Genomic DNA, 14,738 nt, shown 5'->3' on the forward strand with positions numbered 1-14,738 from the left:
GAAGATGTGAGCAAAAAACCCAAATACAATTTATAAAATCTTAAAATATAAGAATAGACAAAGTGCTTTGAAAACAAAGATAAAGGAGGCTGTAACTCAAATAAGTGATTTGGAGCAAGCTTTCTGTGGAGTGAAGTTTAAGCTGGGAATGCAGCTTAAATTTAAAATTGGAATACATTAGACAGGCAGATATGGGTGGAAAGTACACTCTACATTTAGTGACAGCATGAGAAAATATACAAAGGAAACCTGTAATGCATAATAAAAACAAACAAACAAATAAATACTTGGATTTGGCTTCTGTCTTATCAGTTCAGGCTGCTATAACAGAATACCATAGACGGGGTGGCTTCAACAACAAGCATTTATTTCTCAAAGTTATAGAGCGTAGGAATTTCAAGATGCAGGTGCTGGCAGATTTGGTGCCTGGTGAGAGTCCTCTTTTTGATTTCCAGACAGCCCTCTTCTCCTTGTGCCCTCACATAGCAGAAAGAGAGCAAGAGAGCTCTGTGGGGTCTTTATTAGAAGGGCCCTATTACCTTTAATGGGGGTTTCACCCTCATGATCTCACAGAAGCCCTGCCTCCTAATACTATCACAATGGGGGTTAAGACTGTGAACTCTGGAGGGACACACTTTATCTATAATAGCCATTCTATTGGACATTAACCACTTTCTTTTTTCCATGGATTCCAAAGCATTTTATTATGTGAGTTTGAATTTAGTTCTTTTCTATAGAAGCAGAGAAGACTTAGAGATTACACATATTGATTAGGGTCCACAAATAAATTCATATGGTATCTTCAAAATGGGCTTTACCAAGCAATATAGCTAAAGTATTATGTTCCTTTTGAGAATACAATCTTTTTTCACTTTCTGTAGTTAACTATCTCAAGGTGATACAAATTCCAATATACTCTATTAAATAAATGCAGGAATTTTATAGCACTCTAAATAGGTATAGCTCAAGGACATAGCCTCCTATTCTTCTACACTTACCCTCATCAAATTTCCTATTTGTTTATATCATCCATAGCACATTATGTACGTTTTTAGTCATAGGCAATCATATTGCATGCATTCCCTCCCTTAAGTATGTGCCTTCAAAATAAACCTGATACTATATATATACATATATGTGTGTGTGTGTGTGTATATATATATATACGTGTGTACATATATATATATATATGAGATATATGATGCATATATATATTAGAAATGGGATCTTGCTCTGTCACCCATGCTGGAGTTAGCTGAAGCAATCACGTTTCACTGTAGCCTGGAACTCCTAGGCCACAAGGAAACTCAAGGGATCCTCCTGCCTCAGCCTACCAAGTGGCTGGGACTACAGGTGCACGTCACCATGCCTAGCTAATTTTTTTTTTTTTTTTTTTTTGAGATGGAGTGTCACTCTTTTGCCAGGCTGGAGTGCAGTGGCACAATCTTGGCTCACTGCAACCTCCACTTCCTGGGTTCAAGCAATTCTCCTGCCTCAGCCTCCCAAGTAGCTGGGATTACAGGTGCCTGCCACCACCCCCAGCTAATTTTTGTATTTTTTCTTTTTTAGTAGAGACGGGGTTTCACCATGTTAGCCAGGATGATTTTGATCTCCTGATCTCGTGATCCACCCGCCTCGGCCTCCCAAAGTGCTGGGATTACAGGCGTGAGCCACCACTCCCGGCCTTTTTTATTTTAATTTTTGTATAGACAGGGGCTTGCCTTGTTGCCCATGCGGATCTGGAACTCCTGGCATCAAGGGATCTTCCTGCCTTGGCCACCCAAGTGCTGGGATTACAGGTATGAGCCACCACACCTGCCATTAATTATAATTAAAAGTAAACTCTAGAGTAAAATTTGTTATATTAGTCAATCTATTAATGGAAGTATGCACTGTGTTTTCTTTACCATATACATACTGCTTTGGTTTGAAGAAGATCTTTAAATTATTCCTGAGAAAAGACTCTATGCTGATTGACATCTGCACAATGTTAGTTATTAATATTATTCCACGTCTGACGGATTTCTCCCACCATGATATACTTTGAAAGTTCCTGGGGTGAACTTTGATTTGTCACCTTGGGAACCAAAGAAAGAAGAAATAAATCTTGAGAAAGCTCAACATCCATCTTTTTGGAACAGTAAAGAAGCAAATGAGTAAATAACATCTACATAAATATTCGATGTCTATATGCACACCCGAACTTTGAAGAACATCTGTCTTCCTGCCACTAATGATTTTGTTCCAGATGTAATCCAAATATGTTTGCAAATGGGGAGTAGAGAGGTTAGCACAATCTACTTTGCAAGCAGTTGTTGGTTATCATAGCTATTTTTGTTTCTTTTTAAAAACATATACATTTCAAAAGTGATATGGCACCCCACAATGATTATGTTTGAAATGATAGTAAAATAAATCTAATATTGCCCTTGGCTTTGCTCTGATGTTCCTCAACTTAAAAAGAGAGACAATATGGTGTAAGGGCAAGAATGTGGATTTTGGAGTCAGAAAGCTTTTGAAGGCTTGCCGGTCAACAGCTTTTCGTATAATGATATGAGCAAACTCCCCATTTATGCCTTTGATTTCCCATATGACCTTGAAAAAAGCCATTCTTAATAATAGACTGAATAATAGAGTATTATTTATTATGTATCAGTTATCTTAAGTGCATTACATGAAATAACATTTTTATAGTCTTCCTATCTGCCCTATAAATTTTGTGCTGTTAATATTCCAATTTTAGACATGAGAAAACCAAGACATAGTGAGGTGATGTAATCTGCACAGAGACCTGGAGCTAGGGTAGAAAATTCATGTTGTCCAAAACAAATTCAAAACCTCAACTCAAAGCAGCCACATTCTAATGTCTGTTGTTTAGCAACACGTCCTCAGATAATTGCAGAGTGCAGCAGCTACTAAACAGCAACAGTATCAGTAAACATAAAAACAGCTAACACTTGTTTAGGTACTTACTACATGACTGCTATCGCCCTGACAACTTACTGCTTTTAATCTCATAAAGTCTTCCCCATAACCCAATGAGGTAAGTCCTCTTATAGGCAAGGAATGGGAGGCAGAACAAATAAAGCCCTAGGTCATAAAGTTATTAAAGGCTAGGGCAAAAACTTGTATTCTGGTATGACTGGGTTGGCTCTAGATGCTATATGTTTACTTTTCTTTCTTTTCTTTTCTTTATTCTCTTTTCTTTCTTTTTTCCCTCCTCTCCCTCCCTTTCTCCCTCCCTCCCTCCCTCCCTCCTTTTTTTCTTTCCTTCCTTCCTTCCTTCCTTCCTTCCTTTGTTATGGCACACCTTTAATATTTCTTGAATGAATGGGTAAATTTTCCCTTTCTTAGTCCTAATTCTTCACTGCAAACTGGTTATGATTAATAATAGCTCTCAATAATGAAATATTATCACAATTTTGTGAAAGAGGCATTATTATCATTCCTCTTTTATGATGACACTGAGGCTGGAGAAAGGTTCAGCCATTTCATCAAATGTACTCATTTAGGAAAAGATAGAACCGAGCCTCAGAACTGGCCTTCACAGTCCAAGTGCTCTGTGCCTCACCTTCTCCATGTTTCCTCCTCTAAAGTGTGAACTGTCTAGATGAAATGTTCTTATGTATTGGATGTTTTGTGATTGTAGACTCATGCTCTTCCCTAGACTACGTATTTCTTTATTTATTATAGCAACTTGGAAATAAATATATCCAATTTAGTACTAGGCAGAGGTAAAAGGCAGAGAGCTGAGTCACTGCAATGTTCAAGATTTTAAAAGCCATTTGCAGCTTGCAACATAGAAAGTACAGGAAGAAAGACTTGACACATTGAAATTCAAACGTATCTTTCTGGCAGCAAACTATCTCTGGGTCCTGGGAAGCCTGAGTCTGGGTGAGCTGAGAAGTAATGAAGCCCTGCGTCTCATGTCATTGACTCTGGCATTTCAAGTACCACATTCATAACAGTAGACGCAAACCGCTGGGTCCCTTTCTACTCCACTAAATTGAAGTGGTTCCGCAGGGGAATATGGCAACAGGGATGAAAGCAAAATAACATTTCTTTTTCCACTGTAAAAAGAGAAGGTGCTGATGATGTTTATTCAAAAGAGCAACATCTAGAAATTGTGCTGGGACATGGTGACATTATGCCCAGCCATGCTTCAGTGAAACGTTCAACATCTTAGAGGGTGCGGACACATGCTATCACGGGGTTGCTTTCTTTCTTTTTCCTTCCTTCCTTCCTTCCCTCTCTTTCTCTCCTCTTTCTCTCTTCCTCTCTCTCTTCCTCTCTTTCTCTCTTTCTTTCTCTCTCTCTCTCCTTTCTTTCTCTTTCTTTCTCTCTCTCTTTCTCTCTCTTCTTTCTTTCTTTCCCTTCCTTTCTTCCTTTCTCTTTTCTTTTCCTTTCTTCCTTCTTAAAATAATGATATTCAGGACTAAAGATGTTTCTCATTCCACCCCAATCATTCCCTCTGTGTAACAGCTTGGTGTTTTGGTTTCCATTAACAGAAACCCAGATGCAAATTAGCTTAACATAGGTTAAAAATGTTTAATGGATCCCATGTTTGAAAAATCAAGGTTACTAGTTTCTGACAATGCTGGATATAGGGGCACAAATGATATGATGAGAATTCATCATTTCCTTCCCAATCATGTATTTTTCTCCATTTTGCCTCTATTTTCTTAGAATTTTGTTTTCCCATGGTTCTAATATTGCTTCTAGTATCTTCTGGGGTTACCTCTTTTTTAAATCCTATCTAACAGAAAAAAAAAAAGAGTGAGTCTGCTTTTCTGATAGCTTAAAATATATCCCAGAATTTAGTCCTTTGTCTCTGATTAGCTTGACGTAGCAACATATCTATCCCTGAAACAATCTTATTAGCAGTATGCAGCATTTTATTTCCTTAAGCTCCCCTTAGAGCTACAGATGGACTCAACTCCAACAGAATATATAGATTGAGAGTGGAGGAAAGATGCCACTCTTCAAATAAAATCTGAGATTTTTGCAAAAGAAGAGTAAATGAATGCTGGGTAACAAAAACAAACTGTATTCAATGAACATGTCCTTCTATTAGACCTCAAAGACATAATAACTAATTAAATTCTAATCAACCACAGAACTGAAAGATCCATTACATCTCATGTAGCTCTGAGATTGCATATTCATGGCTCAAGGAGTGGATTTATTTTTAAAAATGTATATTTCTAAGACGTATACAGTTTGTTTCTTTATTGTAATGGGACTTGATACATTTTTTCTGGAGATAAATAGTTGCTTTATTCTTTAGCCAAATATACATGCTTCAGTTCACCATATCTCAACTATTCTATATTGTCTCCTCAACACAGGAGACCAATTTAAGGAATCAGAATTCAATATATTTGTCCTGCTGACATTTTTGAAGCAGAAAAAAAAAATGTGGCTCTAATAAAATCTTGGTGGTGGTAGAATGAGTGTTTTATGTGCATCAAGAAAATGGAAGCAGATACGTTCTTTGGGGAAGTAAAGAATAGCCTTAGAAGTTTAATAAGCCAACACTTAAGATATGTAATTTACATTTTAAAAAGTAGGCTTTTGCATTGGAACCTGTCAGTTTTTTCATCGTTTTACGGAAGGTGAGATTAAGACTAAAGATGTTAGCATCTTGACGAGATCCCATACAGAAGTAATGGAGCTGAGATTATTGGGTCCACATGTTTTTCTCTCATCCCACACTTCTCAGCCCCCACCACACACACCATGAACACATTGTAGAAAATTGGGAAAATAGAGGAAAAAAATTTTATTTAAACTGTAAAATTAATGTAAATACTTGCAGAGAAAAAATCTCACCTATAATTTTACCACACTAAAAGCAAAGTTATTTTTTTCTTCTCTGTTACTCTTAATACCTATTATTTTATATTGTAATTACAGTATGTATGCAACACTGTGCCTGTTTTGTTAAAATGTTTTATATGCAGTTATTTTTGTCGTGATATACTGTTCATCACTATGAAATGTGCACATAATTATCCAAGAACAAATGTGCTACAATTTTGTGACCCTTCCTTTTCTTTTTTTCTTTGCACATTCTGCAAACTTTTCTTTTTTTTTTTTTCTTAGCTGTTACTTTTCTTTTTTTTTTTTTTTTTTTTTTTAGTATTTATTGATCATTCTTGGGTGTTTCTCGGAGAGAGGGATTTGGCAGGGTCATACGACAATAGTGGAGGGAAGGTCAGCAGATAAACATGTGAACAAGGGTCTCTGGTTTTCCTAGGCAGAGGACCCTGCGGCCTTCCGCAGTGTTTGTGTCCCTGGGTACTTGAGATTAGGGAGTGGTGATGACTCTTAACCAGCATGCTGCCTTCAAGCATCTGTTTAACAAAGCACATCTTGCACCGCCCTTAATCCATTTAACCCTGAGTGGACACAGCACATGTTTCAGAGAGCACGGGGTTGGGGGTAAGGTTATAGATTAACAGCATCCCAAGGCAGAAGAATTTTTCTTAGAACAGAACAAAATGGAGTCTCCTATGTCTACTTCTTTCTACACAGACACCGCAACAATCTGATTTCTCTTTCTTTTCCCCACATTTCCCCCCTTTCTATTCGACAAAACCGCCATCATCATCATGGCCCGTTCTCAATGAGCTGTTGGGCACACCTCCCAGATGGAGTGGCGGCCGGGCAGAGGGGCTCCTCACTTCCCAGACGGGGCAGCCGGGCAGAGGCGCCCCCCACCTCCCGGACGGGGCAGCTGCCGGGCGGGGGCTGCCCCCAACCTCCCTCCCGGACTGGGCGGCAGGCTGGGCGGGGGCTGACCCCCCACCTCCCTCCTGGATGGGGCAGCTGGCCGGGCGTGGGCTGCCCCCCACCTTCCTCCCGGACGGGGCAGCTGGCCGGGCGGGGGATGCCCCCCACCTCCCTCCCGGATGGGGTGGCTGGCCGGGCGGGGGATGCCCCCCACCTCCTGGACAGGGCGGCTGCCGGTCGGAGGGGCTCCTCACTTCCCAGATGGGGCGGCTGCCGGGCGGAGGGGCTCCTCACTTCTCAGACAGGGTGGCCAGGCAGAGATGCTCCTCACCTCCCAGACGGGGTGGCGGTTGGGCAGAGACACTCCTCAGTTCCCAGACGGGGTTGCGGCCGGGCAGAGGCGCTCCCCACATCTCAGACGATGGGCGGCCGGGCAGAGACGCTCCTCACTTCCCAGACGGGATGGCAGCCGGGAAGAGGCGCTCCTCACTTCCCAGACTGGGCAGCTGGGCAGAGGGGCTCCTCACATCCCAGACGATGGGCGGCCAGGCAGAGACACTCCTCAGTTCCCAGACGGGGTCACGGCCGGGCAGAGGTGCTCTTCATATCTCAGACTGGGCGGCCTGGCAGAGGGGCTCCTCACATCCCAGACGATGGGCGGCCAGGCAGAGACGCTCCTCACTTCCCAGACGGGGTGGCGGCCGGGCAGAGGCTGCAATCTCGGCACTTTGGGAGGCCAAGGCAGGCGGCTGGGAGGTGGAGGTTGTAGCCAGCCGAGATCACGCCACTGCACTCCAGCCTGGGCAACATTGAGCACTGAGTGAGCGAGACTCCGTCTGCAATCCCGGCACCTCGGGAGGCCGAGGCGGGCAGGTCACTCGCGGTCAGGAGCTGGAGACCAGCCTGGCCAACACGGCGAAACCCCTTCTCCACCAAAAAATACAGAAACCAGTCAGGCGTGGCGGCGCGCGCCTGTAATCCCAGGCACTCGGCAGGCTGAGGCAGGAGAATCAGGCAGGGAGGTTGCAGTGAGCCGAGATGGCGGCAGTACAGTCCAGCCTCGGCTGGGCATCAGAGGGAGACCGTGGAGAGAGAGGGAGAGGGAGACCGTGGAGAGGGAGAGGGAGAGGGAGACCGTGGAGAGGGAGAGGGAGACCGTGGAGAGGGAGAGGGAGAGGGAGATGGAGAGGGAGAGGGAGAGGGAGGCAACTGTTACTTTTCAATAAGACCTTCTCTTACCACCCCAAACTTTTCTTTCTCTTCTATTTTGTCTTCTATTCCAACCACTCCTTCAGTCAAATGAAAAATATTTCACAGGAAATCCCCCAAGCATTTAGACAAGCATTTAGTGGCAGGCTTAAGGAAGGTATTATACTAAGGGTAAGAATCTTAATCTAGGATTCAGAAATTGGTAAATTAAGAAGGAAAATCCAAAGGGAACATTCCAGATTGGCAGGGAAGTTTAAGGGACTAATAGTTTTTATTAGGAATAGTTCCATAATATGTAGAGGAACCCAAAGATATTAAAGTCAGTTCTTGAGATTCTCATATATGGGAGATACAGAAGAAATACAGAGAGCAGGCATGCCCTGATTCAGAGCTCAAATGATTTGTCCATTAGACTCCTCCTCACACCTGTTCTTTCTCTGTCTATATATTGGCTCTTCTATATCTTTAAATGGGTTACATTCATAGTGTTCTGAAGAATGCTACTGCCAGCCCTGTTGACATTTTTGTATTACCATGACTTCCAAGGAAAGGAGCAGTATTTCCAGGTAGAAAAGTCCCAGGGAAGCATGATAAGGCTGATTCATGTATCTATTTCCAAAATAATTATGGTGGTCAGGAAAATAGATTATTCATTCATTCTTCATTTATGCACTTGTTTATTTGTTTTGCATAGACCCACGTTATGTATTCACTCTCAGGAGCTGAGAGTATGCAATCCATTAGCAGATGAAAGGGAACCAGATAGAAGCATGCTAGTATCTAATAGCTAGCACAATAGCTCAAAACTGGAGTGACAAGAAGAATTAGCATTTGAGGGCTTATGGTAAAGGCAAAATATTAGAAATGGATAAACCATTCTACCAATACTTATTGATTCCTTGAGATTTTCTAAATCCATTGTATGATTTGAAATAATATTCAAATGAACTGAATTTTATTCTGGACCAGAAGGAATTATTTGCTTTTGAAGGCAACAAGAGAAGGAAATGCAAGGTGTCACAAAATTGGATTCTAAAGGTGTCAGCTATGAGAGGCACTGATGGGGGAAGAGCTTGAACTGGAGACAGAAAAGCTTTATGGGGCAGATGAGCTTTTGAAGGATAAATAAGTAATTATCCAATAGTTATGATGAGCACAGTGTATGAGAAAGATGGGAAGGAATGTTTAAGCTGGAATAGTGAGGAAAAGCAGGGAGTAAGTTTGGATAAGTGAGTAAAACTTACACTGGGCATGAATTTTTTTCATTATGAGGTCTGTTCAAAAGACTTAACCTCAACACTTTTAAATTGTTTGGAAAAACTTTATGTTGAAAGTTAAAATGCATCAGAATAAGAAAACCTAAAGGCATTACATAGTTATCAAAAGTAAACTATAAATAACCAGAAAAATATGAAAAGATGCCTACCAATACTAATTAAAGAAGGAAAGAAAGAAAAACATATTTCAAAAGATTCCTAAGTCTAGTTTTAGCAAGAATATGGTTAAACAAGCATCCTTATGCACTTTTGTTCTGACTGTAATTTCCTAAAAAAAAAATGTCCACATGACTTAAATTAAGAATTTTAATTTTAAGAATTTACATTAAGTAAACAATTAGTAGGTGGGGTGAATATGTTCAATACAATATTGAAATAGAAAATAAAAGCAGCTAATATATCTAAAATCGAGGTGTCAATTTCATAAATGATTTGAAAATAATCCTATAGGCTATGACACAAATTCAGGAAATAATGTGGAATGTGGTTCTATATGTGCTTTCTTAACAGATGAATATAATTTATCAAATTTTAAACTAAAATTTGAAAAGTTGAAAGAAATATATGCCAAACTATGAACAGTGGTCATCTTAGAGGCTTGAAGTGTAAGAGAGTGAAATCATTTATATCTTACGTTATAAATGGTGGTGCTATTTAAATTCTTTTGTAGCAAGAATGAATTTATTTACAGTCAACAAAACATGCACACATACATTTAGCTAAAAGAAAAGAAATTATTGAAGAATAAGTGAGTCAGACAGAAACTGATAACATGACTGACTAGAAAGAAGCAGTGAAAAGCAGTAGAAAATGGACTGGCTGTCAAAGTCAAACTGATATGGTGGCAATTATCTGATGAATTTGAGCAGTGGAAACATTGACTTGGACAGCTGAGATAAAATTCCACTTGAAAAATATGTCTGGCTGATCAGTTTGGAAGATATCAGCCTGCGTATCAATTCGTTCTATAGAGGAAATATCATAGAAGTATTTGACTATGCAATATGGGTAGACTGAGTATTAAGAACACTGTACATACCCAAATTATAATTTGCAAAACATTAATTAAGCCATTAGGATTCATATTACAAAGGCACTTTATGTATGTGTGTGTGTGTATATTTACATATGTATGTGTATATGTATATATAGAAACACATATATATGTGAGTCACCATGGAGTTTTTTTAAATAACAGTTTTTCTAGTGTAATTAAGAAGCAACTAAATTTATAAAACTTTCACTTACCAAAAGCTTGCCACAACCACAGCAGCTGCATGAAGAAAAGCTTATCTGTAGTTCCCCCTTTGATGATGTTTACCAGGAATTTCCATTTGGCTGTGGCCTTGTGGATATGGTCAGAATGTACTCATAACCTTGGTTAGGTCCATCAGTGCAAATAAAATGAAATGGTTGACATTTATATGGGCAAACTGATCAATGTAGACAGGCACTGTGAATAAATCAACCTTTAAAAGTCATAAAATCCTGTTTTGTGTAATTTTATATACTTCGCAAAAGCATTTTTATAGAGTCACAATCTTTTAGAATTAGAAGAGCCTCCAATACTCATATAACCCAGGTTTCTCATCTTATAACTTTAAGAAACAACCTCCAAAGACTTAGAAAACTTGCCTCAGGTACCCATTTCCATCAGCTGAAAATGGAGAACCAGAAACATGTCTGCTAAGTTCAACTGCAGTCTTTTCCCAATAAGCAATGTGTTATCTCATTTCTTTCTTAAGGTTACAACTTCAGTTTGAAATAGGTGAGGCAGAGAGTGTGTTTACTACCAGTTACTACTAGTAACTTACTCTAGTCGAGGGTCTATGAAATCTTTCCCTGGCCAGACAGACACGCATACACACTCATACATACATTATAATATAAAAGTTTTCATCCTGAAAATCAAGACTTCCCTGTGATCTAAATGTCTTTTCTCCTTACTTGGGCTGTTATCTTTTTTAAAGACCTCATTCATTTCACATCTGCAAAAAATGGTCAGTCTCTATGTAGATGATCCTTGGACAGTCATCTTCATCTCTGGTATCTCTCTTCAGGCTTCTGCTATGTATTTATAATTGTTTTATGTTTCTTCCCAGTTCTAGAGAAATTCTGAAGCCAACATACACAAGTAAATGTAGGTAGAAAAGAAACTTAGGTAAGAAAAGACAGTGTTCCAAGGTATCTGATTGCCTGACTCAGTTATGATTAAAATGAGCAAGATCTCTCCCTGCCTCTTCTTCACTTTGGATGTTGAGTCAATGCATACTATCTTTATCTTTAATTAAAATTGGGATTCTGCTACATATACAACTGACTGGGATGAAGTATTATCTAATAAATACACATACAAACTCACCTATAGATGGATACAGCTACCTATATCTATATTACTCTATCTAGCTATCAAGTTTTGTATCTGATTCCAACTAGATATAGATATAAATATAGAGATAGAGATAAAGATACAGTGTAACTACAGATAGTGAAATATTGTACAAAGGTGGCCACAATGACACCTCTCATTCCACACGCTCTTCTGCAATGGAAACTGCCATTACTCCATCAAAAGGTGAAGCCTCTCTCTTGAACCCCTTGAATATGGGTTGGTCTTGTGATTGTTTTGACTAATAGAATATGTTGGAAATGATGTTGTGCCAGTTCTAAACAAATCTTTTAACTCTTTAGGCAACTTCTGCTATCCCTGTCTTGGAATCCAGTCACCATGTAAAAAATGCCACTGCCCTGAGACCACCCACCATGCTGTTAAGAAGCCCAAGCAAGTGAAGTCACCGTATACTAGAATGGTAAGAAGTCATATGAAGGGAGAGAAAGAGAGAGAGGGAGACAAAGAAGGATGAGGAGGAGGAAGAAGAACAAGAGGAGAAAAAGGTTAAAAGCAGAGGGAACAGGAGAGAAACGAAGGGGAGGGGAGGGCAGGGAAGGGGAGGGAGGACAAGAAGCACTGAGGTGCCAACCTGTGAGTTCAAAAGCCCTCGGACGGGCACGGTGGCTCACGCCTGTAATCCCAGCACTTTGGGAGGCCGAGGTGGGCAGATCACGAAGTTAGGAGATCAAGACGATCCCGGCTAACACAGTGAAACCCCGTCTCTACCAAAAAAATACAAAAAAATTAGCTGGGCATGGTGGCTGGCACCTGTAGTTCCAGCTAGTTGGGAGGCTGAGGCAGGAGAATGGCGTGAACCCGGGAGGAGAAGCTTGCAGTGAGCGGAGTTGCACTCCAGCCTGGGCGACAGAGTGAGACCCCATCTCAAAAAATAAAGAAAATGATAGTAAAAAAAAAAAAAAAGAAGAAGAAGAAGAAGCCCTCATCTTGGAAGTGCATCCTCCACCCTAAGCTGTCCCCAGTGGGTATCACATGCATCAGGGAAAAGCTGCCTATCCAAGCCCTTCAAAATTTCTGACACACAAAATTGTGAGAAAAGCCAGTTGGCAGTTTTGCAGTACTAAAAGTTACAGGATAGCTTTTACATAGAAACAGTTAATCAGGAAAAATAATGTGGAGAACATCACTTAAGCAAGAAACTTCAGAAAATGTTAAAAATATAGGTGGGAGGTCTTTTTCCTGGAGTAAGGAACATGGAAGAATATTATAGAAACAAAGCCTGTATGGGGCTGATTTAAGTACCCTCGTGGAAAACTAAGTAGTATGAACATTGCTGTGCCCATAACCTGGATCCCTGAATATGGTGAGTATGGCAGTGGTTAACATGATCTGACCTATGAGAGTTAACAGTCCAGACTGGAGAGCCAGACTGCCCCTGTTCTAACCCCGTTCTGCCTCATATGAACTGTTAGCTTTAAGAAAATTGCTTTGCCTCTATGTTTCAGTATATACATCTATAAAATTGGTATGATAATATTACCTACAGCATAAGGTGTTATGAAGATTAAATGAATTAATATTTGCATAGTGCTGAGGACAGTGACCAGCATATAGATGCATTAAGTTTCAGTTAATTATTCAAAAATGATTGATTCAGACATTTCAGGATACATAGAAAGGACTCATTCACTTATTTTCTGGGGGAGGTGCTTGGGGTAGCTTTTATTTTTTGTTGTGATAATATATATAACATAAAACTTACCATTGTAACCATTTTAAATTTATAGGCCAGTGGCATTAAGTATAATATATTTTTGTCATTGTGCAAACATCACCACCATTTATCTCTACAACTTTTTTAATTTTCCCAAACTGACACTCTATACCCATTAAACAATAACCTCCCATTTCCTCCTCCCCTCCACCCCTATGAACCCCTATTCTACTTTCTGTCTTTATGAATTTGACTATTCTAAGTACTACATTCAAATGCAAACAGACAGTATTCGCCCCTTTGTGCCTGGATTATTTCACTTAGCATAACATTTTCAAGGTTCGTCATGATGTAGCATGTGTCAGAATTTCTTTCCTTTTTAAGAATGAATAATATTCCCTTGTATGTATATATCATATTTTGTTTATTCATTCATCTTCATCCATCTATGGACACTGGGTTGCTTTCATCTTTTGACTGTTGTAAATGATGCTGCTATGAGCATAAGTGTAGAAATATTTGTTTCAGGTGCCTGCCTGCAATGTTTTTGGGTATATACTCACAAGTAAAATTACTTCTTTCGTGGTAATTCAAGTGGTAATTCTACCTTTATTATTTTTTTGAGGAAACACCACACTGTTTTCCACAGTGCCTTCACCATTTTGCGATCTCACCAGCAATGTGAGATTGTAACAAGGGTTATAATTTCTCCACATCCTCACCAACATTTGTTATTTAATGTTTTAAGTTAATAGTCATCATAATAGATGGCTATTCATTCATTTAACAATAATTGGAAATCTACTATGTAAGAGACAATGCATTAGGAGCTAGCCATACAAAAGGCAGACATAGCCAGCCTGGTTGGTGAGACAGAAAAGTAATTAAGTGTTAGAAAGCCACGTAATAAGTGCCATTAGGCAGTAACCCCTCAAAAGCCATAGAGGAATGACAGAAGGATACCTAACACTACCCAGAGGGTTTAGTTCAGGCTTCTTATAATACATGGTATGACCAAGTTGAGATTTTAAGAACAAGTAAACCTTAGGTGGAAAATCAACCAAGGGAGGGCATTGGCTATGTGATAGCCACAGTACACAGCCTATGAAAAGGCTCTGAGGAAACAGAGAGGGCATGGAATCATCAACTCACTAAAAATACTCTTATAGCCAGAGAGAAGAGTGTGGAGGGAGTGGCGAGGAACAGGGCCTGAGAGGTAAACCGAGGTGGGTTCTGAAGAGCCATGTTTTAGATTGTCCCCTTCCTGCCTAAATACATCTAGAAGTCCAAACTACCAGTACCTCAAAATGAGACCTTATTTGGAAATAGGATTATTGCAGATGTGATTAGTGAAGATGAGATCATACTGGAGGAGAGTGGGCCTCAACACACCTGGTGTTCTTATAAGAAGATGGCCCTGTGAAGACAGAGACATATAAGGAGAATTCCCTGA

The 14,738-nt window shown here is 39.9% G+C and overlaps 2 long non-coding RNA genes across 2 annotated transcripts in view; one reads left to right on the forward strand and one right to left on the reverse strand.

Annotated features, from left to right (window-relative positions):
* The window catches only part of LOC102724929 (uncharacterized), an 88,452-nt gene that overhangs the window by 26,908 nt on the left and 46,806 nt on the right, over window positions 1–14,738 (reverse strand). The gene's annotated exons all lie outside the window — the stretch shown is intronic.
* Window positions 8,457–14,738, forward strand: part of LINC02578 (long intergenic non-protein coding RNA 2578) — a 65,642-nt gene continuing 59,360 nt past the window's right edge. Inside the window, exons 1-2 of the long non-coding RNA NR_151725.1 lie at window positions 8,457–8,510; window positions 11,913–12,031. This is a non-coding gene — a long non-coding RNA (long intergenic non-protein coding RNA 2578). The remainder of the gene's footprint in view (window positions 8,511–11,912; window positions 12,032–14,738) is intronic.

This window comes from Homo sapiens, chromosome 9 (assembly GCF_000001405.40).
Source record: "Homo sapiens chromosome 9, GRCh38.p14 Primary Assembly".
Classification (NCBI taxonomy): Eukaryota; Metazoa; Chordata; class Mammalia; order Primates; family Hominidae; genus Homo; species Homo sapiens.